At 38.1% G+C, this 26,577-nt stretch overlaps 1 protein-coding gene across 23 annotated transcripts in view, besides 1 other annotated feature; it reads left to right on the plus strand.

Moving 5' to 3' along the window:
- Positions 1-26,577, plus strand: part of PHTF2 (putative homeodomain transcription factor 2) — a 158,732-nt gene that overhangs the window by 58,000 nt on the left and 74,155 nt on the right. The gene's annotated exons all lie outside the window — the stretch shown is intronic.
- Positions 15,512-16,083: an enhancer, noted in NCBI's record as "OCT4-NANOG hESC enhancer chr7:77501601-77502172 (GRCh37/hg19 assembly coordinates)". NCBI's record gives its function as "activates a minimal SCP1, AML or CMV promoter by ChIP-STARR-seq in primed H9 embryonic stem cells {active_cell/tissue: H9 hESC(primed)}" and the evidence as "EXISTENCE:reporter gene assay evidence [ECO:0000049][PMID:30033119]".

Here is a 26,577-nt window from a genome sequence, read left to right on the forward strand (position 1 = left end):
GAGATTATATAAAGTATATGAGAGGATGTGCATATGTTATATGCACATATTACACCATCTTCTATAAGGGACTTGAGCATTCATGGATTTTGATATCTGCAAGTGTTCCTGGCACTAATCCCCCACAGATACTGAGGGATGACTTTATCACTCTTAAAAATAATAATAGTAATTATCTTATGACTTGCAATATAACAGATGACAAATTAGAGTATCTTTCAGTACTTAAGAATATCTCTAATGACCATGTTTTTGCTACTAATACTCTTCCTTTGATCTGGCCAAACTGGTGGGTATGTGGTTAAGGCAAGGCCAGAGATGGTTCTTCATCCCCTTGGCCACAGTGATCAGTCCAGGTATGCGCAGTGACCTAAGCTGTCCTTTCATAAACTTTTCAAAAATTAGAGCTGATAGGAAAGACTCTTGCTTCTTTCATGGGGGAGTTAACAAGGATGAAAGTCTGGAGCTACCTCTAGATGTGTTACTGTATTGGAGAAAGTTGTGGAAAGAAGGAGGAAATGAGATAGCCCCAGAGGTCATGAATAGGAAAAAGAGACAACCACAGGCCATCATGGTACTCTGGTCTTTGGATTCTCTCTACCCTGAGATTAGCTTTGCCCCAAGCTTTGAGTAGTTCAGCCATTATCCGCTAAGGAATTCTCCCTTTGTTGAAGCTAGTTTGAATTGGATTTTTTTTAAGAGCCCTGACTAAAACATGGAAGGAGTATGTATATACAAACACGTATTAATTTTTAAAGAAGTAACAGTATATATTCAGAAAATCACATGAAATATAAATCAGCCTGATGAATTTTTACCAGCTGAACACCTGTGTAAAATATGGCTCAGATCAAAAACCTTCCGTCACAACCATCTGATGGTAACCACCATATGAGGCAGTGTATCTTAGTAGTTAACAAGAACACAGGTTTTGGGTTTTAGAAAGCAGAGATTTGAATCCTTGTTCTTGAGAGTCTGTATAACTTTGGATAAGTTGCCTAATTTCTCTGAATTCCACTTTGTTCATGTATATAAAGGGATAACACTGTCTTTTATATTTATTTAAGGATTAATTATTGTTACATGGGTCAGCTGTCAACCCAGAGTTATTGCTTTATATTCCTTAAACTTATCAGAGTACTTTATTTCATGGATTAAAAAAATTCTCATGAGGCTTAAAATTTCTTGTAAATGAAAAATCTGAAATACTAGACTTCTAATATCCAAAGGTAGAAAAGTGGGTATTTAGTTGGTGTTTGTTGTCTAACATGCATACAGCAAAATCATGATTAAATAGCACTTATAAACCTCAATTTTGCTTGCTTCAGTCACTGATCATGTTTTCCATCTCTTCCTCTTTAATGTCACTTACTTGCCAAAAATAAGACTTATCCTAGCAGAAATAGATAGGTTAGTTTAGTTGCTGTAACATTTGCCTTTTCACTTAGGATTTTTCTTCCCTATTTTGGTTATGAAGTTCTTAATTTTCCTCCTACACACTGTCTCCAGTTTGGGTATCTGTAGCCTAAATAATTTGGGTTTTAGTTTTATTTGTTTACAAGGAAAAAAGAAACTATACTATGTGATAGTTGAGGGTTTGACTTTAGAGGTTATCTAGTTCCTGTTAAACTTTTTGCTTTATAGGCAAGAAATCGGACACCCTTAGAAGTTAATAACTTGATCATGAATTAGTGATTAAAACCAAAACTAAGGTCTGCTGACTTTTAGGCCACTGGTCTTCCTGTCCTAAAGTTTCTTTGAGAAACAGACCGAAGAGACTTTGATGTAACTCATTTGTTTAATTTGAGAGGTTTTTTTTGTTTGTTTGTTTGTTTTTAGGTGACCTCTGATGTCTCTGTCTTTGGAGAAGTATACACTTTTTTTTTTTTTTTTAAAGATAGGGTTAGTATTACAGATACATATGTGTTGATTTAACAATGACAGGAATGATGATGATGTTAGAGTACCACCATACATTTAAATAGCATTTTTCCCAAGAGTGCTTCTGTATATAGTCTCATGGTTTAATTTATTGTGATAATGAAATAAATTAACTCAGTGGTTATAACAAGATATAAGAAGTTATATTGGTTTTCTATGTCTTTCATAACAAATGACCACAAACTGGGTGACTTAAAACAATAGAAGTTTATTTTTTTCACCATTCATGAGTCCAGAAGTCCAAAATCAAGGTGTCAGCAAGGATGGGTTCCTTCTGGAGAGAGACTGTGAGGGAAAAACTGTTCTCTGCTTTCTCCTAACTTCTAGTGAACAATCCTTGTTGTTCCCTGGCCTGTAGATTCATCATTCCAATCTTCACCTCAATCTTCACATTGCCTTCTTCACACTCTTTCTGTGTTCTCTCCTTTTCTTATGAGGACAGTAGTCATTGGATTTAAGTCTCATCTAAGTTAAGATCTTATCTTGAGATCCTTAACTAATTACATCTGCAAAGACCTTATTTCCAAATAAGGAACTATTCTGAGGTTCCGGTGCATGTGAATATTTGTGGGACACTATTCAACCTACTACTGAAGGATAACTGAAGTATATTTACTGGTTTTAATGGATTTCGTGTGGAGATGTGTAGCTTTATTTCCATCTGTGTAGCTGTATCGTAGACCACCAGTGAAGAACTGAGTAAGAGAAGGTCAGGATCCCAAATATTTTCTTCATGTTCTTAAAAGTTACGATTGTCGAACACCTAGGTCCTCTTTTTTTAAAAAAAATTTTTCATTCCTTAAAGATACCTTGCAAAACAGGAAGTGAGAATTTCTTTTCTTTCTTTCTTCTTTTTTTTTTTTTTTTTGAAGCAGGGTCTCTCTGTGTTACCTGTGTTGGAGTACAGTGGCACAATCACAGCTTACTGCAGCCGCAACCTCCCAGGCCTAAGCGATCTTCCCGCCTCAGCCTCTGGAGTAGCTGAGGCTATGACTATAGGCATGCACTAACACACCTGGCTAATTTTTTTATTTTAATTTACAATGAGACCCTGTCTCACTGTGTTGCTCAGGCTGGCCTTGAACTCTTGGGCTGAAGCAATCCTCCTGCTTTGGCCTCCCAAAGTGCTGGAATTACAAGTGTGAGCCACCATGCCTGGTACCTAGCTCCTCTTATATGAAGTGTTAAGGAATACGTTTATGCAAAATTAAGCACAATTTTCTGCTTTCAGTTCTTATTAAATAGATATTTGGGTTGTTTAACCTAACAGTTATGAGGTTTCCTTTCTTACTTATTATAAATAATAATAACATTCTTTCACTTTTAAAAAACTGCATGTAAGTTAAACCAGAGTGTATATTTCTCAATGTCCTAATCTTGGAGGATTGTCAAACCTACTTTGTGATAAATTATTGATTGTCTCTTAAAATGCTGATTGTCTCTATTGGGACCAAAAAACATTGAATATAAAAGTTTACATTTAGATGTGTATAAAATATTAATCTGTTGTTTTTGTTATAAAATTGGAGCAGTTGAGTCGACATGTGCAGTTTAAAAAATTTATACTCTTATTGAAATCAAATGTATGAGAATATTATTTTTTCTATAACTGCTACAGGCTACCGAAAAGCCATTCCTGTCTTTGAGGCTACAGGATTTTGTATTTGGGGCTAATTATACACAACAATTTAAAGTGATTATGTACTAGAGGACATATTTGGCTGTCCTAGGTTAGCTGGTTTTATTTTTATTTAGCAACTTTGGGTGAGTTTCTTAACTTTCCTAAGCCTTGGTTTCTTTATCTGTAATATTGAGATAAGAATCCTTTTAAAATTGCTGTGATGATTAAATGACACAACATATATAAACACCAAGTACAGTGCTTGGTGTATAGTAGGTATTCAATAAATACTGCTATAGCACTTCCTCTCCCTTCTGTTCACTTTTGCTAAATATAGACTGTTGTTATTAATCAAATGTTAAATTAAAGGTTTTTGTTAATTGCTCTTTTTTTTTGAGGCAGGCTCTCACTCTGTTACCCAGGCTGGAGTGCAGTGGCACAATCACGGTTCACTGCAGCCTTGACCTCCTCGGCTCAAGCAATCCTCCCACCCCAGCCTCCCATATAGGGACGTGCCATCATGCCCTGTTAATTTTTTGTTTTGTGTATTGTAGTGATGGGGTCTCACTCTGCTGCCCAGGCTGGTCTCGAACTCCTGGGCTCACGTTATCCTCCCACCTCGGCCTCCCAAATTGTTAGGATTACAGTCATGAGCCACCTTACCTGGCCTTAATTGTTCTCTTAAATTGGACATTTCTATATCAGTTAAAATGGAAAAACACCATTAGAAGTGGTCAGTTTTCCTTTGTATTTTTGAAAATTATGTACTTACATTTAATTGCTCTCTCCCTTATTCTTTAATTTCTTTTTTTATTTTTATTTATTTATTTTTATTGTTTGCTTTAATTTCTAACACAATTTTTTCCTTAGGGTGTGTCATTCTTTATCTGGGATCCTTTGAAGTACTTTGTTTTCATGGTAAAGAGGGGTGTTTTAGGAAGGAACAAAACAAATGATGCATTAAAAAGTGGATAGAATAGATAGCTATAAAGGCAGATATAGTTTCAGTTATATCTTACACTTAATTCTACATGGTAATTTTGAGGAATGCACTATCCTACGTGGTGAATTTTCTGGGTATTTTTTTTTAAATGATCAAATTTTCTTTTACTTTTGACTCTTTCCTTTAACACTGCAAATAGAGTAGAAATGACCATTTTCTAATATTTTCCTGATTTGTGGTGGTTATTGTCTATTATGACTTTGGTTATAATACATTGTGATAGATCTGTCCTTTATTGTGAGTTCTCAGTTTAGCCTTATCTTGATTTGTTGTTTAATCAGTTTGCAGAATTGTAGGTAAATAGGCCAGGCACAGTGGCTCATGCCTGTAATTCCAGCACTTTGGGAGGCCAAGGTGGGCAGATCACTTGAGGCCGGAAGTTTGAGAAGAGCCTGGCCAACATGGTGAAACCTCGTCTCTACTAAAAATACAAAAATTAGCCAGCTGTGGTGGTGCATGCCTGTAATCCCAGCACTTTGGGAGGCCATGGCAGGTGCATCACCTGAGGTTGAGAGTTCAAGGCCAGCCTGACCAACATGGAGAAACCCCGTCTCCACTAAAAATACAAAATTAGCTGGGTGTGGTAGCGCATGCCTGTAATCCCAGCTATTCAGGAGGCTGAGGCAGGAGAATCGCTTGAACCTGGAAAGCGGAGGTTGCAGTGAGCCAAGATCGTGCCATTGCACTCCAGCCTGGGCAACAAGAGCGAAACTCCATCTCAAAAAAAAAAAAAAGAAGGAAAAATAGAAAAAAATACCTTTCACTCTTCCCTAGCAGTACCTTTTTAGGCTTCTACACAGTAATGTTTATAGACTCCAAGGGGATCCATCTATAGTTCTCCTTAGTATAAAAGTACTGAGTTCATAAAAACATTATCAGTAGAAAATTCTTTAAGGTTTTTGAAATGTCTTTTTTACAGTGTTAAGGCACTATAATACATACATTTCTACATTTTTAACATTTATTTTATATTTGTTCTCTTTAGAAGTTAAGTGTTTCATAATAGAATGTTTTTGGTTTTTGTTTTGCAAATACCTTGGTACATCAAGACTAGGAATTTCTATATAGTATATAATTTATTTGAAATACTGCAGTCATTTGCTTATGACTTTTTTTGGATAAAAGGAATAGTTTTTCCGTTAAAAGGAAGCAATCATTGGCCTGTAGCGGTTGCCAGATACAGCACCTAAAAATTAAAGTAGTAGTTTACACAGGTATGAGGAGATCCAAGAAATGATGCTATTTGAATAGAGCTGAAGTTCTTTATTGAATAAAGCTTCTTATACCTGTGGGGTATTGGAAAGAAAAATATTTTATGACTTACTGGAAAACTAGCCTGGAATCTTTTTCATTTTTTGATGAATAGGTTTAAAACAGAGATGTTCATCAATGATATAATATTTGCCGGTTATATTCCAAGTGTCTTGCAGTCAGTTTATTTTTAACCATAGCAACAGACATGATGGTGAAATAAAGTAGTAGATTACTGTTGGCAGCCTAAAATTAGGCAAATGTACCAACTTTGAAAGGCCTGGGAGTGACTAAAACACTGTAGTTAACCTGCTGTATGTTTACAGTTCTACAAAGAATGACATAAATGCCATTTAACAGGTAAACTTAGAAGCTAAATTGCTCTTTGCCTAATGGACCATAGAGTTTATTCAAATAAAAGCTGTAGATTCAGCACCAAGGATTGATTCACAGAGAATAAAATGCTGAAGATATACAACCTAAAAGTTTCCCATTTGAACTTTTGCCCTGAATCAATATCCTTATTGGCATATATTTGCCTGGCCATTTTAAGTGAAGTCTTGCTTTAGTTTGCTTTCTGTTTTTGGTGTCTTTTTCTCTACCCCTGTGATGGATTCGAATTACAAAGAGTTCTGGTTTACCTAGTTTGTGGAGAAGGGGGATAGTGTAATCTCTAATGAAGTAGGATGGTATATAAAGAGCTAGTTAGTAAGGTAGCCTTATTAAAATGTACTTCTTTTACAGCTTTGGGGAATCAGAGGAATGACGTCTTATTTTTCCAATCTCAAAATGGTAGGCAGCAGGGTGTATTTCTAATTACTGCTGTTTTGTCCACTGTGACACTTTATTATATGGTTCATTTTTATTTACTGGTAGAAAACCAAGGAGTAAATTACTAGGTAGAACCTCCTTACATTGATTTCATATAAGGAAAATTCAGTACATTTAGTTTTACCTATAGAGATTGATTTTTAGGATTAAAGATTTTTTTTTTCTTCCCTGTCCACCTCACCTGGTCTCAGTGTAGTTCTAAAGCTAAAGTTTATTACACATGGATTATTAAAGACTTTTTTTTTTTTAACCAAGACTTTCTCTTTCCAAAAAATCATGTCCTGATAGGATTTACACGCATTTATGTTTAAATAACATTTATGATGTGCCTACTATGTATCAGGCACTGAGTTCCCTGTTTTGTTTTGTTTTTTTTTTTTTTTGGAAGATAGGTTCTTACTCTGTCGCCCAAGCTGGAGTGCAGTGGCACGATCATGGCTCACTGCAGCTTCAACATCCTGGGCTCCTACCTCAGCCTTCCAAGTAGCTGGGGACTACAGGAGTGAGCCACCATCCCCGCTTAGTTTTAAAAAAATTTTCTGTAGGGATGGAGTTTCTCCATGTTGCCCAGGCTGGGCTCAAACTCCTGAGCTCAAGTTATCCTCCAGCCTCTGCCTCCTAGAGTGTTGGGATTACAGGTGTGAACCACCTTACCCAGCCCCACGGAGTTCTTATCTTTAGGAAACTCTGCATCATGGGGGAGCCAAGATGTAAACAAGTAACTATTATGCTTTATGGTAAATGCTACAGTAGAATTACCTTGAAAGTGTTACAGGAACTCACATAAAGTTCCCTGTAAATTTTTTCCTCTAGTCACCATTCTGTTACTGCTTTTGTCTTCTAAATATTTCTCAAATCTGTTGTGATCTCCCTACCTTCATTACTCTTTCATTCTTGTGCCAGTTAAATATTTTTTCTCACATCCACCAGAGTGATTTATCTTAAACAAAAATTTGACCTTGTCACTTATCTTTTTAACACTCGTCAAAGCCTTTCTTTCATATGTGGTATAAACTCTTTGCAAGGCCTATAACGATTTTTCTGGTCTAATTCCAGTTAGCTTTGTAGCCTCATTGCCTACCCCTTTCAGCCTTCAACTTTTCTTACCTTCTAACACCATCCCTCCAAATAAAACTGTTTGAAGTCTTCCCATGCTATTTTTCACCTTAGTGTTTAGACTGCCCACTTATGCTTTTAATTTTTTTTTTTTTTAACTGAAGTTGCTCCTTAAAACTCAAAGCTGGCATCTTCCCCTCACGGATATCTTTCATAATCCCCTGAAAACTGGATTAGGTATCTCCTCCTGCTAGTGCTCCTATGGGAAAGTTGTGTGTGTTCTTTTTGTGGCAGTGGTATAGCGCTTTTTTTTTTTCTTGATTCTTTCTCTTTACAGTTTACAGAGTAATATTGTAGTTACCTAGCATCCTCCAAAGGTCACCACTGTGTTGCTTGTTTGTTTAATTATCATTATGAACTTATGGCTTTAAAGATATTTCATATGTTTCCACCTGTTGGAGTTATTGTCCATAATAATGTCTTTCCCATTGTCAGACAGATTGTTCTGTCTTAATAATAGGAGCTTATTTAGGTTGGCTTCTGAATCTTTTTGACATGACCCTAGTAGTATGATAGTATTCACTGAGGAAAAAAATTTGAAATGGGAGCAATTGTTTCTGCATGGAGACAGGGAAAGCTACAGAGAGATCTTGATCCTCTTTTACCATCCTAGATATAAACATTCTGAGATGTTCCATATAAGCTAAATTCATTCTGCTCCATTTAACAATAATTACCTGGGAATCTCCTCTTTTTTCTTTTTTTTTTTAGACAGAGTCTCGCTCTGTTGCCCAGGCTGGAGTGCAGTGGCACGATCTCAGCTCACTGCAACCTCTGCTTCCCGGGTTCAAGCGATTCTCCTGCCTCAGCCCCCTGAGTAGCTGGGACTACAGGCATGCGTCACCATGCCTGGCTAATTTTTGTATTTTTAGTAGAGACGGGGTTTCACCATGTTAGTCAGGCTTGGTCTCAAACTCCTGACCTCATGTTCCACCCAGCGCAGCCTCCTAAAGTGCTGGCATTATAGATGTGAGCCATGTCACCCAGCCAATCTCTTTTATAATATCAATTATTATTCTACTTCTGTATTACAGTGGTATTTTGTTTATTCTACTGCTTATTACAGCCTGACTTGATAATTAATCTCCCCTGCTAATCCATGAGAGTAAGAATCATTATCTTTATATCGCCATTATTTCAGGGTCTTACTGTATACTTGGTACTTGGTAAATGTTTACTGCTTTGATAACAGTGCTGTCAGGAGACAGTATTTATATTAAACTTCTAATTTATATAGTTTTTTATTCTTAAATTAAGTACCTTTGATGTGCCATGTATCAAGCCAGGCACTTATTTCAAGGGACTTGATTTGAGTTGTCAAATCTGTGAAATAGGCTCTTTATACTGATTATTACATTAAGTATTAGGCTGGGCTCGGTGGCTCATGCCTGTAATCCCAGTACTTTGGGAGGCGAAGGCGGGCAGATCTCTTGAGGTCAGGAGTTCAAGACCAGCCTGGCCAATATGGTGAAACCATGTCTCTACTAAAAATACAAAAATTAGTCAGGCATGGTGGTGCACACCTGTAGTCCCAGCTATTTGGGAGGCCGAGGCAGGAGAATCACTTGAACTTGGGAGGCAGAGGTTGCAGTGAGTCAAGATCACACCACCACACTCCTGCCTGGATGACAGAGCGAGACTACCTCTCCAAAAAAAAAAAAAAAAAAAATTATTAAACGTAATAGTTTATTCTGTAGTAACATTTCCTGAAGTGTGCTCTACATGATGTTAATAAGTATTAGGAGAATAAAAGGATTTTGTAGTCAAATCAGTTTGGGAAATATTGAGTGAGACACAGGCAAACAAGTTATATGATTTCAGGATTTTCCAGTGCAAATAATGTGCAGTTGACTGTCTAAGAGGCAGACAGAGAAAATATCATTTCTCAATTTATTTGACTTAATTTTTTCCCCTGAGTATCTGTTGAACATACTTAGGAAAATACTGGCCTGTGGTTAACAAGTTACGTAAAAGAGTGTGGTGCAGTGGAAAGGGCATGGAATTGGAAGTCAGAAGCTGGGTTTTACCATCTGTAAAACCTGACGTCTCTTAAAGCCTCAATTGTCTCGTCAGTAAAAAAAAAAAGTTAATACTGGTCTGTACAGCATAAGATTGTTCTCTTTAATGGTCTCTTATTTGATTTCAAATGAATGAATAGCAATAATATGTTAGGTATTTTTAAAATAAGTAACCAAGTTATGTTAATATTTTTGGCATTTAAATTGCCTTAAAATATGACATAGCTTTTCTTGTTATAGTAAACTATTAGAAATATGTAAACAAGGATGGTGCTGTAGCCTTGATTTATATTTTGTACACATGATTTAGTCAGGGTTATGTTTTAGAATGATAAACCAGAGTATATGCTATGATGAGTAGTAAAAGAATGCAAATAGGCATATACATTCTTTCCTTGTCACATGCTGCAATATGAAGGAAAAGGAAGCATTAGGTAATAGCCAGATGACATAATGGTTAATTATTGAGCTTTTGCATGTCTGTTCCTGTTGTTTGCTCCATACATATTAGTACATTTAGTCCTTATAATTACCCTTTGATTAATAATACTAATTATTTTACATGTTGTTAAGGCTAAGTTGGACTTCTTGAAGAGTTTTGTGTATTTTTATTTGCTTTTTAAATAAGCCCTGACAGCTTGCCTGCTGGCAAGATAGCCCACAGAAGGTAATACAGGGAGAAGTATATGACAATGATTAGGGATTAAATGTAACCCTTCCCAGACATCTCTTAGTGATCAGAACCAAGGCAAGTGAACGTAGGGTCGTTTTTGTGGATGGATATTAATGAAATTACTGGTGGGTAAGAGCACAGCTATGGAGCCAGGTTGTCTGTGTTTGAATTCCTGTTTATTGCTACTATTTAACCTTGTACAGCCTAAGTCTTTATACTGTAAACATAGAGATAGCTGTAATACCTACTTAATAGTGCTGTGAGAATTAAATAAGTTAATACGTGGAAGGGGTATCAGCACTTGATAAATGCTGACTACTTATTATTGCTGTTATTGTAATATTGTGAACATTAACTGCCTCAACTGGCATTTGAGGAGTAAAAAGCAGAGACATTAGTATACTTCAGTAACTGTGGTTGGACTTTCTATCCAAGGTGGGGGAAAGGGCGCAGCTAAGGAGTTCTGGTGTATCATAGGAAAAAATTATCTAATAGTAGATAGCAGTTGACAAGAGTATGTGAGAGCTTTCATTTTTTTCTCCTGACATCATCTTAGATTGGGTGATAGACAGTGTAATAAAGTAAATACTTAATCTACAGCTTGATGCTGTAAAACATCTGTGCAGTTCTCCTTTACATACGATCTTTTGTTTTAGTAGATTGATGAATCCCTGTTTAAGGAATTTACAAAGTTGGCAGAACTTTAAAGCAAGTTGTATTCTAGGGGGCAAATCATGCCCAGTACCTTTTATAAAGTAGTTAATACAGATGAGAGGATATCATAAATATACCCATTAATGTTAAGAAACATTTCCTTTTTTCCCCCCATTCTATATAAAGTACCTTGGTGGAAACTTCCCAGTCTCCTTGGATGGCATTTAGCCTTTTATATGTGAAAGAAGTAATAAAATTGGATCTTTTGTTTTTTTTTTTGAGACAGGGTCTCACTTTGTTGCCAGGCTAGAGTAGTATCCTGCACTATCATAGCTCAATGCAGCCTCCAACTCCTGAGCTCAAGCAGTCTTCCTGCCTTAGCCTCCCAAGTAGCTGGAGCTACAGGCATGCACCACCTCGCAAGTGGCTAATTAAAAAAAAATTTTTTTTTTTTTTTTTTTTTTTTTTTTGCAGAACAGAGTCTTGCTTTGTTGCCCAGGCTGGTCTTGAACTCCCGGCTTCAAGCAATCCTCCTACCTCAGCCTTCCAGAGTGCTGGGACTACAGGCATGTGCCAACTCGCCCAGCCAAAATTGAACTTTTTATTACAATCATGAATACAAAGAAAAAGTGAAAGCTATTCTTCATATTCTGATTAATTAAAAACAAATTTCAGTAAGTCAAAGAATGGATATACCTGAAATGGGTAGCACATTTACTTAATTCTCATCTAAACAAGTAATTTGAAACGGTTTCTGCTACTAAGAATAGCAATTTCCACAAATTGCTATTATTTTGAGAAAAGACAAATCAGATTTATCCTAGGAAGGTAGCATTAGATAATGGAAAGCCTATGGGCTTTTATGCTTGCAGATGGAATCCAACTTCTGTGTTTTAAAAACTATCTGGCCTTGGGCTAACATCTCTGAGACTCAGTTTCCTCACGTTTAAAAGGGGAATGATAATGTTGACTTTTAAATGATTTTTGAGAAAGTTCTAGCACAGTATCTGAGAAATTTTAAAATAAATATTCCCTTTCATTTTGGCTTGAACAACTTGAATTTGTACCACACATAAATATAGATCCTATTCGTACTTTATTAATCTTAGTGACTTAAAAATCAAGCAGGAAAAAGCAAAAAAACAAAAAAGATCTTTGGAATAGAACATCCTGTCTTTCAGTCTGGTTCTGTCATTGGTTCTCTTTTGACTTTGAGCAAGTTATTGAAGGTCTTTACATCTGTTTCATTTTTTCAGTTTTTAAATTTTTAATTGATACGTAATTAATTATACATCTTATGGGATACATGTAATATTTTGATACATACAATGGGTAATGATTAGATCAGGGTAATTAGGATATCCATTACCTCAAACATTTATCATTTCTTTGTGTTGGGAACATTTTAAAACTACTCTTCCAGCTATATTGAAATATATAATAAATTATTGTTACCCTCCTGTGCTATCAAACACTAGAACTTAATTCTTTCTATGTGTGTTTTGCACCCATTAACCAAACTTTCTTTATCCTCCTCACTTCCCAGTCTCCTGTATTACTCTCTACCTCCATGAGATCAACTTTTATAGCTCCCATATATGAGAACATAGCAATATTTGTCTTTCTATGACTGGCTTATTTCATTTAACATAATGACCTTCAGTTCCATCCACGTTGCTGCAAATGGCAGGACTTCCTTCTTTTATATTGCTAGATCATATGGTAGTTCAATTTTTAGTTTTTTAAGGAACCTTCATACTGTTTACCATGGTGGCTGTACTAATTTACATTCTTACCAACAGTGTATTAGCATTCCTCTTTCTCTAGATCTCACCAGCATATGTTATTTTTTGTCTTTTCAATAGTAGCCATTTTAACTAGAGTGAGATGATATCTCATTGTGGTTTTGATTTGTATTTCCCCGATGATTAGTGATGTTGAGTTTTTTTGTTGTTGCTGTTTTTGTTTTGATTTTTTAACATACCTGTTGGCCACTTGGTTTGTCTTCTTTTGAGAAATATCTATGGCGATCTTTTACCCATATATTTGAATTGGATTATTTGTTTTTTTGCTGTTGAGTTGTTTGAGTTCCTTATATATTCTGGTTATTAATCCTTTGTTGGATAGTTTGTAAATATTTTCTCCCATTCTGCAGGTTGTCTCTTCACTCTGTTGTTTTCTTTGCTGTGCAGAAGCTTTTTAGTTTCATGTAATTCCATTTGTCTATTTTTGCTTTTGTTGCCTGTGCTTTTGGGGTCCTACCCCAAAATTCTTTGCCTAGATCAGTGTCCTGAAGTGTTTCTCCAATGTTTTCTTCTAGTAGTTTTATAGTGTTAGGTATTACTTTTAAATCTTTAATCCATTTTGTTTTTTTTTTTTTTGGTATGTTGTATTAGGGTTCTCTAGAGGGACAGAACTAATGGAAAAAAATTATATATATGAGTTTATTAAGTATTAACTCACACTATCACAAGGTCTCACAATAGGCCATCTGCAGGCTGAGGAGCAAGGAGAGCCAATCCGAGTTCCAAAACTGAAGAACTTGGAATCCGCTGTTCAAGGGCAGGAAGCATCCAGCACAGGAGAAAGATATAGGCTGGGAGGCTAGGCCAGGCCAGTCTCTCTTTTCACATTTTTCTGCCTGCTTGTATGCTAGCCACACTGGCAGCTGATTAGCTTGTGCCCACCTAGATTAAGGGTGGGTCTGCTTTTCCCAGCCCACTGACTCAAATGTTTATCTCCTTTGGCAACACCCTCACAGACACACCCAGGATCAAAACTTTGTATCCTTCAGTCCAGTCAAGTTTGCACTCAGTATTAAGCATCACAAGTCCACCCCTTGTCAACCTGAACCCATACACATCTCCTGAGATCATATATAATCTTCAAATAAAGACAATAATAAGCCTAACATAACACAGCTATCCTTTGTACAACCAGAAATGCACCAATCCCCATTCCAAATACTATTACATAAAGTTAACAATACTTAAATGCTGATGTGAAGTCAATAAATCTTTATATCACATGATAAAGGAGAAAGGAAATAAAAATGAAGATATTTTCTTAGTATAAGTGTATACATGCACAAACATTTTTAACAAAAGAAGGAGGAAACACTCATGACAGTTACAGTCCTTGTTTCTGCAGCTGATCGTGTGGTCGTAGCTGGTATTGATGACTACCTTCTTCTACTACCCATTCTGTATTCCCTTGGCCTTCAGCAAGCACCTCAGCAAGTCATGGTGTTTTCTCTGGTGGAGTGACCCAAACCTTCATTCCTGAATGGTCTCGGGGTCATTTGTAGTCCTGCCTGAATTGGGCTGTTGTAGTTTCCCATTGACCTTAATCACACGGCATGGTGATATTAAGAGACGCCTTAATGGATCTTGTGTATTCCATGAATACTCTTCCTTACCTCCGTTGTGGAGTAGTAGACTGATTTCATCTTGATAGTCCAGGCCAATCACTGTAACTCCCTTCTTAGCCTGTTGACTTAAAGGTAGGGGGAGCCCAAAGTGTCCAGGTGGCAATCTTAACTTCCAGTTTAATGGAGTTGTGTCTCCTCTTGGCAGTGTTCCTCCCTCTGGAACTAAGACCTCCAGGCCAGGAGAACGTAATGTCTCAGGAACAGGAAGCAAAAATTTTACTAGTGTATCACTAGGGGTGATGGTAAGTGGTGCTACTTCCAATTCTACCCCTTGATTCCTGAACCTGTGAATCCTGGCTATTGGAGAAACAGTACCATATATTGGATGCTGATTCAGAGCATACACTTTGCCCCAGCCCTGCAAAGTATTGTCACCTAGTTGCCGTTGTAATTGTGACTTCGAAAGGGTATTCCACTGTTGTGTCAATCCAGCTGCTTCAGAATGATGGGGAGCATGGTAAGACCAGTGAATTCCATAAGCATGAGCCCACTGCCACACTTCTGTAGCTGTAAAGTGAGTGCCTTGGTCAAAGGCAATGCTGTGTGGAATACCATGATGTTGGATAAGGCATTCCATGAGTCCATGATGGTAGTCTTGGCAGAAGCTTGCATGCAGGATAGGTAAACCCATATCTGGAGTAAGGGTTTATTCCAGTGAGGACAAACCTCTGCCCTTTCCGTGATGGAAAAGGTTCAATATAATCAATCTGCCACCAGGTAACTGGCTGATCACCCCGAGGAATGGTGCCATATGGAGGGCTCAGTGTTGGTCTCTGCTGCTGGCAAATTGGGCACTCAGCAATGGCTGCAGCCAGATCAGCCTTGGTGAGTGGAAGTCCATGTTGCTGAGCCCATGCGTAACCTCCATCCCTGCCACCATGGCCACTTTGTTCATGGGCCCATTGGACGATGATGGGGTGGCTGGGGAAAGAGACTGAGTGGTGTCATCCTCTCCACTTGATTGTTAAAATCCTGCTCTGCTGAGGTCACCCACTGGTGAGCACTCACATGGGGTACAAATACCTTCACAGTTTTTGACCACTCAGAGAGGTCCATCCACATACCTCTTCCCCAGATTTGTATAAACTAAGTAGGAATGCAATAGGCTTCCTATCAGTTTTACTTCTAGGAACACTGTGATTAATTAGCCAATGCCAGAGCTCTACATGAGTCAGACTATTCTGATTGCCGCTTTGCCTCTGCTGTCCATTATGGTAGCCACACCCACCTTGCCTTTGATGGTTGATTGCTGCCACTTGGCCCCTGCCACCTCAGGATCCAGTTATTCCCATTGTAATTTAAATTTTGTAGTTGAGTGACTGCACTTCCCACTGTTAGACCTGACATACCTGAAAGAGCAATTACAGGGCTCTTCAGAGATGCAGGTGCTGCCCTCACAAATCTAGTTCACAAGGCATTGGTCAAGAGTACCTCTTCTGGACCCTTCTAGCTGGGGAGGTCAGTAGGTCTAAAGTGACTAATCCGCTCCACCATCCCAGTCTCCCTAAGCCTTTAGATCCCTTCCTCTACATTAAACCAAGGGAGATCAGACATTTCTAGCTCACTCAGAGTGGGCCATCTTTTAATCCGGATTTCAGCAAACCAAGCAAATAAACTATTAGAACCTTTTTTTTTTTGGAGACAGAGTCTTGCTCTGTCACCAGACTAGAGTGCAGTGGCACGATCTCAGCTCACTGCAACCTCTGCCTCCCGGGTTCAAGCGAGTCCCCTGCCTCAGCCTCCAAGTAGCTGGGATTACAGGCATGTGCCACTATGCCTGGCTAATTTTTTGTATTTTAGTAGAGACGGGGTTTCACAATGTTGGCCAAGGTGGTCTCGATCTCCTGACCTCGTGATCCCCCTGCCTCAGTCTCCCATAGTGCTGGGATTACAGGCGTGAGCCACTGTGCTCGGCCTAGAACCTTTTTTAACTCCCGGAGCTGCAGCATTAAATGCAGAGTCCCTACTTAGTGGGCCCAAATCCATAAATTCAGCTTGATCCAACTCTGTGTTCCTTCCGCCGTTATCCCACACCCTTAACATCCATTCCCATGCCTGTTCTGCAGATTTCTATTTATATAAATTAGAAAACTCAAGCAGTTCTTTTTGAGTTTAGTGCACCTCCTCATCAGTCACACTATCAACCCCCCCATCTCTAGGGGCCGGCTGGGACTTTAGTCTAGTTATAGTTCTAGAAGCAAACAGGGGTGTGAGAGGTGGCACCTGAGGAGAATCAGTGTTATCTTGCCTCACAGCTGCCTCAGGGGAGGCCATCACTGTTGCCTCAGGCAGCACAAGGTTTATCTCTTCAGACAAAGGTGGAAAGGCTGATGGCAGCATGGGTCGGGGAGGGGATGTTGCCACTACTGGGGATGAGGAAGCTGTTCCTTCTGGCAAAAAAAGATTCATCAGAATTTACAAACTCAGTGTCCTGCCTCATCAGGGTCCTCCCACACGTCTCCATTCCAAGTTTCAGGGTCGCATTCTTTTCTATCAATGCCCTCACTTTAACAGTAGACACCTGGCGACGCTGTGCATGTACCTTTCAGTGAAGGTCAGCCACTTGCGTGATAATAGCTTGTGTCTGTTTTTCTACAATTTCAGCTATTTCTCTAGGGGAGATAAGACTCTCACCCAGGGCAATCTTAGCAGATTTGAGGCTCAGTATCTGCTTCTGAAGCCAGGAGATAGAATCCCTGAGTTCATAATTTTCTTTCATCACTTTGTCCACTGAACTTAGGAGCAACCAACCAACTTCATTATGTTCCTTGGTTCTCCACATATGGTCAAAGGTATTGTGTTGAGTCACTAAACTCCTTGCCTCTCATGAGTGATGAATCAGGAGTGTCAAATGCATTTATTTTGCAAAACTCTCCAAACAGTTCATGCCAAGGACTAACAGTGTTCTCCATACTATTAGAAATAGAGTCCTTAGCATTTTTGGGTCTAATCACATTAAGCAGCCAACTCCAGAAACCCCAAAACCAACAAAAGAACTCCATCCTTAATATTCTGTTCCTCTAGAACCACTCCTGGTACCAAAATCTGTTGGTCAAGGTTCTCTAGAGGGACAGAACTAATGGAATAACTATATATATAAAGGAGAGTTTATTAAGTATTAACTCATGATTACAAGGTCTCACAATAGACCGTCTGCAAGCTGAGGAGCAAGGAGAGCCAGTCCAAGTTCCAAAACTGAAGAACTTGGAATCCGCTGTTCCAGGGCAGGAAGCATTCAGCACATGAAAAAGATATAGGCTGGGAAGCTAGGCCAGTCTCTCTATTCATATTTTTCTGCCTGCTTATATTCTAGCTACACTGGCAGCTGATTAGATTGTGCCCACCCAAATTAAAGGTGTGTCTGCTTTTCCCAGCCCACTGACTCAAATGTTAATCTCCTTTGGCAGCACCCTCACAGACACACCCAGGATCAATACTTTGTATCCTTCAATCCAGTCAAGTTGACAGTCAGTATTAACCATCACATATGTGGTAAAATATAGGGGTCTAGTTTCATTCTTCTGTATATGGATATCAGTTTTCCCAGCACCATTTATTGAAGAGACTGTCTTTTCCCCAATAAACGTTCTTGGTGCCTTTGTCAAAAATCAGGTGGTTATAAATAGGTGGATTTATTTCAGAGTCCTCTATTCTGTTCCATTGGTCTCTGTGTCTATTTTATGCCAGGCCCATGGTCTTTTGGTTACTATAGGTTTGTAATATATTTTGAAATCAGGTGGTGTGCTGCCTTCAGCTTTGTTCTTTTTGCTTCCAGTCACTTTGGCTAGTGCTGTATGAATTGTAGGATTGTTTTTTTCTATTTCTGTGTAGGGGTTGCATTGACTCAGTAGATTATCTTTGGTAGTATGGTCATTTTCACAACATTCTTCTAGTCCATGAGCGTGGGATGTCTTCATTTTTTTGTGACCTCTTTGATTTCTTTCATCAGTGTTTTGTAGTTTTCTTACATAGATCTTCCACCTCCCTGGTTAGATTTATTCCTAGGTTTTTTAAAAAAATAGTTTAATTTTTAAAAAATCTATTCCTGTGTGTGTGTATGTGTGTGTTTAAAGAAAACAGTCATCTTCTTTAAAATTGGAATAACTCTGTCTATTTCCAGGCTTGTTATAAGGATTAAACAACATTGTTTAAGTAAAGTAGTTGGCCCAGAGCCTCCTATATCATGGTTGTTATATTTGTTGACTAATAATAACAGGTAATATTTATTTATTTATTTATTTATTTATTATTATTATTATTTTTTTGACATGGAGTCTCGCTGTGTTGCCCAGGCTGGAGTGCGGTGGCACCATCTTGGCTCACTGCAAGCTCCGTCTCCTGGGTTCACACCATTCTCCTGCCTCAGCCTCCCGAGTAGCTGGGACTACAGGCGCCTGCCACCACGCCTGGCTAATTTTTTGTATTTTTAGTAGAGACGGGGTTTCAGTGCGTTAGCCGGGATGGTCTTGATCTCCTGACCTCGTGATCTGCCTGCCTCAGTCTCCCAAAGTGCTGGGATTACAGGCGTGAGAAACCGTGCTGGGCCAATAACAGGTAATATTTATTGAACACTTCATGTGTGCCACACAATGTCTGAAAGTACTTTATATACATTTCATCATCACAAAAAGCCTATTAAATATATATTACTGCTATTATCCTGATTTTATAACTGAGGCAACTACGGTTTAGAGAAGTCTAGTAGTTTTCTTAAGGTCACACAGTGCCTGTGTGCCTGAGCTAGAATTCAAATCTAGTTGGTCTGGGCCATAGTATCTGCACTCTTTACTTAACAGTGATTCCACTCCCCACTTTACAACCAAATCTAGCCTATTTCTTTTACTTTTTTCTTACCTGGCTTTGGGTTCTTAGGTGGTTGAGAGAAATGGCATTAAATTTGTCATCTGTGTCTCATTCCCTGCCTGGACTGCCATCAAGGACCAGCAAATGCTTAATAAATGGTAGCAGCAGTTACTGATTATTAATACAACTATCACTTTTTAAGTGTTTTTAGTCTATTAGAAGTCTTGTACATTTACTGACTAGGTCGATTTTGGTCAGTGTTATTTAACTGAGTAAATTCAATTTTTATAAATGCGTCTGTGGCCAAAAGAATTATGACCAGTGTTGATTAATGTCTTAGATTAGGTGGGAAGATGAAGTTCATGTCTTTTGAAGTTTTTTTCTCTTTTAAGTTTGATATATAAAATATGAGCAACACTTTTATTAGTGGTAAAATGAAGATAATGTTTATATCCCATCTTTCACTGTGTTTCTTTGATTTAGAAGCTAAAGAAGTCAGCTGGGCTTGGTGGCTTACATCTGTAATCGCAGCACTTTGGGAGGGCAAAGAGGAAGGATCACTTGCGCCCAGGAGTTCAAGACCAGCCTGGGCAACAAAGTGAGATCCTGTCTCTACAAAATAAATAAAATAAAATAAAATAAATTATCCAGGCATGGTGGTACACACCTGCAGTTGCAGCTACGCAGGAGGCTGAGATGGGAGGATCACTGTGATTGCACCACTGCATAATTTAAGAGTGTGTTTTAAATAATTTTCAATGATTTCCACTCTATAATAATTCAGATAACACTTATCAAAAATTCCAAATAATTTTGAATTGAGTAATGTTAAATTGTGTGGGTTTGGCTCTAAAAGCTTTAACACTTGGGAATTATAGGTTTGTTAAATAGAACTTGGGTATTTACCCTTAAAGTATTTTCACCCTCTGTTTGATTTAAATAAGATATATTTGAATTATTTTCCCATGATTAATGGAAGTCAGTAATGATCTTTTCTCTCTCTTTTTTTTTTTTTTTTTTGAGACAGAGTTTCGCTCTGTCACCCAGGCTGGAGTGCAGTGGCACAATCTTGGCTCACTGCAACCTCCACCTCCTGGGTTCAAGCGATTCTCCTGCTTCAGCCTCCTGAGTTGCTGCACGTGCCACCATGCCTGGCTAATTTTTGTATTTTCAGTAGAGACAGGGTTTCACTGTGTCGGTCAGGCTGGTCTCGAACTCCTGACCTCATGATCCCCGCTCTCGGCCTCCCAAAGTCCTGGGATTACAGGCGTGAGCCACCACGCCTGGCCAATAATGATCTTTTCTTTCCTCACTAGCAGGGTCTTCACAGTTCATCATCCAAGGTTAGGTTAAGTAGAAAAGCAGAAGTTAAATTATCTTTGCTAAAATGACTTTTTGGAAAAGGTTATTAATCACATAGTAGCTTGATAAATAAATCCACTCAGAACATACTGCCATGTACCAGCAAGTTGGAAAATGAACAGTCTTCATAAATTATGCAGAATGGTATTGGTTTGCATGCATTAACAGCAATGTTCTCATTAAACTTGGGCCAGGAAAAACCACCATGGTGTTCTGCTTCTACTTTTCACCACATGCGTAAACTGTGCCAACATCAGCCAGCTAAGACATGGGAAGGAAAGGAAACCAAGGCTGTGTAGGGCCCCTTAGCATCAGGATTTCTGGAAACTTCTCTCTTAGGATCTGTAGTTAATGTTAATTTTATTCCTCTGTCTCAGCCGTCTGTCTCTGTTTCTCCTATTCATGTGATGTCTAGAATGGAAAGTCTGGCTCCACTTGAGTTGTGTGTCTGGCTTTGAATCACTGTTGGGGGAAGGGGATGTGCAGGATCAAATAACACAGATGTGGAGGTTGGTAGTCCCTCTCAGAGTATAGCAAGACTTCAGTACTTTATGCTTAGTGATGTAGTTGCCCAATTAATTCATCTTGCCTACTGCCCGGAAAAACCAATGCACTGAGAACAGCAGGTTTTTGCAGCAGAGAGTTGAAAAATCGCAGGGCCAGGCAAACAGAACAAGAGAGGTTATTATTATTCAAATTGGTCTATGAAATTTTGGAGACTGGGTTTTGTTTTGTTTTAGGATAATTTGGCAAGCAGTGGGCTAGGGAATAGGAAATGCTGATTGGTTGGATCAGGGATGAAATCATAGGGTGTTAAAGCTGTCTTCTTGCACTGTCAGTCCCTGGGTGGGATTACAAGACCAGTTGAGCCATTTTATGGGTCTGGGTGGCGCCAGCTTGTCCATTAGAATGCAGGGTCCGAAAAATACCTCAAACACCAATTTTAGTTTTACAATAGTGATGTTATCTGTAGGAGCAACTGGGGAGTAGGAGCAACTGGGGAGGTTATGAATCTTGTGACCTCTGGCTACATGACTCCTGAGCCATAATTTCTAGTCTCATGGCTAATTTGTTAGTTTTACAAAGGTGGTTTCAAAGGAGGCTGTAGTTTTGGGAAGGGCTGTTATCATCCTTCCTTTAAACTATAAACTAAATTCCTTCCAAAGTTAGCTTGGCTACTCCCAGGAATGAACAAGCACAGCTTGGAGGTTAGAAGCAAGATGGAGTCAGCTATGTCAGATTTCTCCTACTGTCATAATTTTGCAAAGCAGTTTCAGTGATTGATTTACTGATTTTACGTAAGTATAAATGAGAGATGGGTATTGAATCAACTAGATGTGTATTTTTAATCTCTAAATTAAAGATTTATTTCTTTAAGTATTAAAAAGGGTGGCTTGGCATTTGAGGGTTATTGAGGGACCCCTGAAGTGACACTGTATCTAGATAGATCTATCTAGATCTAGCTAGGTAGGTGGATGTTATCTAGTTCACCTGGCCGAATGGCCTTTTTTCAAACCTGCTTTTATTCTGTGATGCCGTGGTTAGTAGTAGCAGTGCAGTCCCAGGTACTTAAGCCAGAAACTGTCATCTTTATTTCTTATGCAACCATATCCAGTGAGTTTCCTATTCCTGTACATTTTATCTTACAGACATTGGTCCTTTCAGACCATCTCTTAGTGGTATGCAATAGTACTTAACTTGATTCGGCTTTGAATTTGACTTTTTGAATATTTTTTCTTTGTATTTATAACTTCTTAGAGGCAGATTCTACCGTAATCATAGTGTTACTAGCATTGAGGGCTAATCTTTTTAATATTTTTTGAGGACTGAAGGACCATAGCTGGGGAGGAGTCAGATGAGATGGTCCATGGCTGCTGCTGCTTCTCATATGGCCAACCCCTCATGGCTGCAGAGGCCTAAAGAACTCGTGATGGCCTTCTCTCCTTGGCTTCTTCCAGAAGTTGGAATTCTCCCAGCTCTACCACAAAGCTGTTTGCCGGGCTCCCTTTCTTCCATTCCCTCCCTTTCCTGTATGAACCAGTTGAATTATTTCCACAACCACCTAATGCAATTTAAGTTACTCTTCTGTCACAAAGATGGAATGTTTTTGTTTTCCTGGGTAATTGGCATATTTTAGCATTTTGGCTCTTTAACTCATTTTTTTTCCTGATGTCCAAGAATGGATGGATAATTGACATAGTCAATTATCTATCATCTATCTGCCTTTTTATACTACTAAAATTTCTTATGGTTTTGTTGTTAAAATATCTCTTTAGCTGAAAGTTTCTCTTATGTATCTTATAGGAAAAGCCAAATTTATTTTCATAAATTGATTTTGAGCAGTGGCAGTTGCTTTCTTAATAACTTGCCCTCTTCTACTCACAGTACTTTTCCATGAGAAATGTATACAAAAGCATCTAGCCTAACACCTAACACTTGATTGTTAGTTGAGGGTATTAGCTCCCTTTTCCTCTTGATTTGTAAAATATTGGTTTTTATTATAAATGTTAAAGTGATACATATTTATCATAGGAAAAGTGGAAAATGCAGGTTAAGTATAATGAAAGTTAGAATCACACAGTTGCTCTACTGTTGACATTATGACTTTTTCCCAACAATATTAGCATCGTATTTTTTATTTTCCTGTTTTCATGTAACATAACCAAAAGTATGTTCTCACATTACTAAATTTTAAAAACATAATTTTATGACCATAACATTTTATTCTCTGAGTATGCCATAATGTATTTATTAAGCCATTCCCCTGTTTACAAATAGCATTCGTTAAGTTGTCAAACTAATCTTTTATTTGTTTATGAGCTTTCTAGAGGTAGAGATTTCTCAGTAACTCAGTAAATAGGAACATTTTCAGGCTTTTAAGACATCAGTCCCCACATATAAAATCATTCTCCCATCTTAGCTGCCATCCCATCCTGTATGTAGATACCCTGTTCATCTCTCTCAAGATCTTTATTCTAGACCTTCTTTGTCTTTCTTGGGCTCCAACACCTCACACCAAGATGTCTTACAAGTGGATGCCCTCCTTACCCTGCTTGAGTTTCTGTACCCTGTGCTTGGTCATCCCCACATGTGGTCATCCTTCTCGCCCTGCTCAGGCTCTGACTCTCCTCACCCCCACAACGTCCTCCTTCACATCCCGCTTGGATTGATACCCCATGCCTGGCTACACACGTGCATCAGGCTCTCTCCACTGTAGCTCTGGCACCGTGCTTTAGGCCCCCATGGTTCTGCCCCATCTAATGGCTTCAGTGCTGAATTGTTCAGGAGAAGCAGAGGGAAAAGAGAAAGGAAACTATAAAGATTAAATGAGGAAACTTGCAAGTGCATATTATCATGCCTGGCATACTTGTAGGTGTTTGGTGGTAGAGTATGTGTGGATATTTAAATTCCGCTCCTGATCCTGGACTTTTGAACCTTGGTGGTAAAAGGAAAAATACAAACATAACCTACTTGACTGCTTCTAATACCAACTCAGCTGCTTATGCTCTATCTGGTATCCCTCCAATCACTCTCTCTAGTGGACAATATATTCTGTCTCTCCAAGTGGTTGTTTTTTTACCTTTTTTATTGTCCCCATTCCCCAAACTCCCCAGCTTCCAAATCTCATCTAATGACTGCCTCCTGTTTAAACGAGATTAAGGTCATTGACATTAATGTATTTAACTGCCATAACCACTTCAAAATATTTCAGTATTTTTAGCTCTTCTTGCTTTACCTTTTCTTGAAACTCTTTCCTTGTTTAGCCTTAATTAGTATATTGTCCCAGTCGTCTTCCTACCTATCCAATTTTTGTAAGTCTCATTACCTGCTTTTGATTCTTCTCCCCTCCATATATATGTTTATCCTTCTTAATATTTTGTTCTTGGTCTCCTTAATGTATTCAATTTCCTTAGGTGATCAAATTGACCACATAACATCCAAACACCCAGTTTATGCTGCTGAGGTCCAGATTTTGTACCTTCCCAACTCTCCTGATCTCTAGCCATAATTCTTGGCTGTCTTATGGCTCCAATGGCTGGTTTTGTTTTTTTTTTTTACTTCTTTTTTCTTTTTTTGTAGAGATAGGCTTTCGCCATGTTGCCCACGTTGGTCTTGAACTCCTAGACTCAAATAATCTGCTCACCTCGGCCTCCCAAAGTGCTGGGATTATAGATGTGAGCCACTGCACCCAGCCAAATGGCCTTTTTTCAAACCTGCTTTTATTCCAGGATGTCATGGTTAATAGTAGCAGTGCAATCCCAGGTACTTAAGCCAGAAACTGTCATCTTTATTTCTTTCTCATGCATCCATATCCAGTGAGTTTCCTACTCTTGTACATTTTATCTTACAAACATTGGTCCTTTCAGACCATCTTTCAGCGGTATGCAACAGTACTTACTTGATTCTGCTTTGAATTATGACTCTTTGAATATTTTTTTCTTTGGATTTATAACTTCTGAGAGGCAGATTCTACCATAATCACTTCTCTTCATTGAAATAAAAAATACCTTCAAGACTTTTTTCTAAACTTGAGTCAGTGTTTTACTATGTCATTAACTGGCTTTCCTTGGCAATAGGAGCTTGATCAGGATTCGTGATTTGATGATAGGTATGTGGTCTGTAGTATCCTTTTTTGGGGATTCATGCAGAGAATCGTGTCATTTTAGATGATGTTGGGAATATTTTAATTAGCTTTAGCTTTTATTACTCATAATGAATGGAATCTTTGATAACTAGCTAGCTTTTAGTATCTGCAGATGAGAATGTGTTTGGTGTTTTGATCCAAATGGCTAGCTAGATATATAAATTGACCGAATTCTAGAAATCTGTTTTCTTCCTTGAAAAGTCACATTGTCCCCCAACCAAAAGATTTCAAATCTTAAAAAAAAAAAAATTTATTTCTTTTAAAATTTGCCTTCTACTCAAGTAGCTTTACTTTTTTTAGTAACACTTTTTAATTATATTCCGATAATGATTTATAGAAAAATAAATAAATGATTGGTTAAAGCAAAGAGATTTGCAAGTGGTTGCAGAGCAAACTCTTTGCTTATAGTCAATAATATTTATTCCATGGTTTAGACTTCTTTTCCCAATTAGGATATCTTAAATTTGAATACTTACCCATTTAAGGTCTTCCCGAAATAACACTAGAATTGTAGGGCAGTATTTTTAATGATTGGGTTAAAGGTCTTCTATGGTTTGGCCTTTCATTATGTTTTTAGAGTTTTAAAAAAAGATTGATTCAGAAAAGTTAGAGATTTGGTAAAATAATTTGGTAGTTGTTATGCATTTGAAAGAGTTGCTAGCTTTGGACATTTTCTCAGACCACAGCTTTCTGTGTGACATTATCATCATAGTTTATATTGTGTAATTAAATGATTCATCTTCCTCATTTGATCCTCATCATTAAAGTCACCTGAGTATCTGACTTATACAAACTTCTTTAGAGGTGTGTGTGCATGTGTGTGTAATTGTCCATTGCACATGTGTGTAATGGACAACTAGAAACATTGAACAATATGTAGATTAAAATAGAATGTTGTAAAAACAAAAAAAGAATGGGGTAGCACATAAATTGAGTAGTAGGTTAGAAATAAGTCCTATTAGGAGCAATTTCAGGATTCAGAGATATTTCTAGGTGGTTCAAGAGACAAATTTGTTCGAGAAGTAGTAGTTATGAGCAAAATCAGTGAAAACCTATTTGATATCCAAAGGATTGAGAACTTTACTTTTGAATTAGAAGTCTTAAAGAATGTCAAAATAATTAGTTTCCACTATTTCTGGATGAGATTTGTCTGAAGGTTATTCATCATTCTAATGATTTGAAGTGGCCCAGATGTCTCTTATTTTTTGCAATATGAACAGAAGTACTGA

The sequence above is a fragment of the Homo sapiens genome, chromosome 7, assembly GCF_000001405.40.
Source record: "Homo sapiens chromosome 7, GRCh38.p14 Primary Assembly".
NCBI lineage: Eukaryota > Metazoa > Chordata > Mammalia > Primates > Hominidae > Homo > Homo sapiens.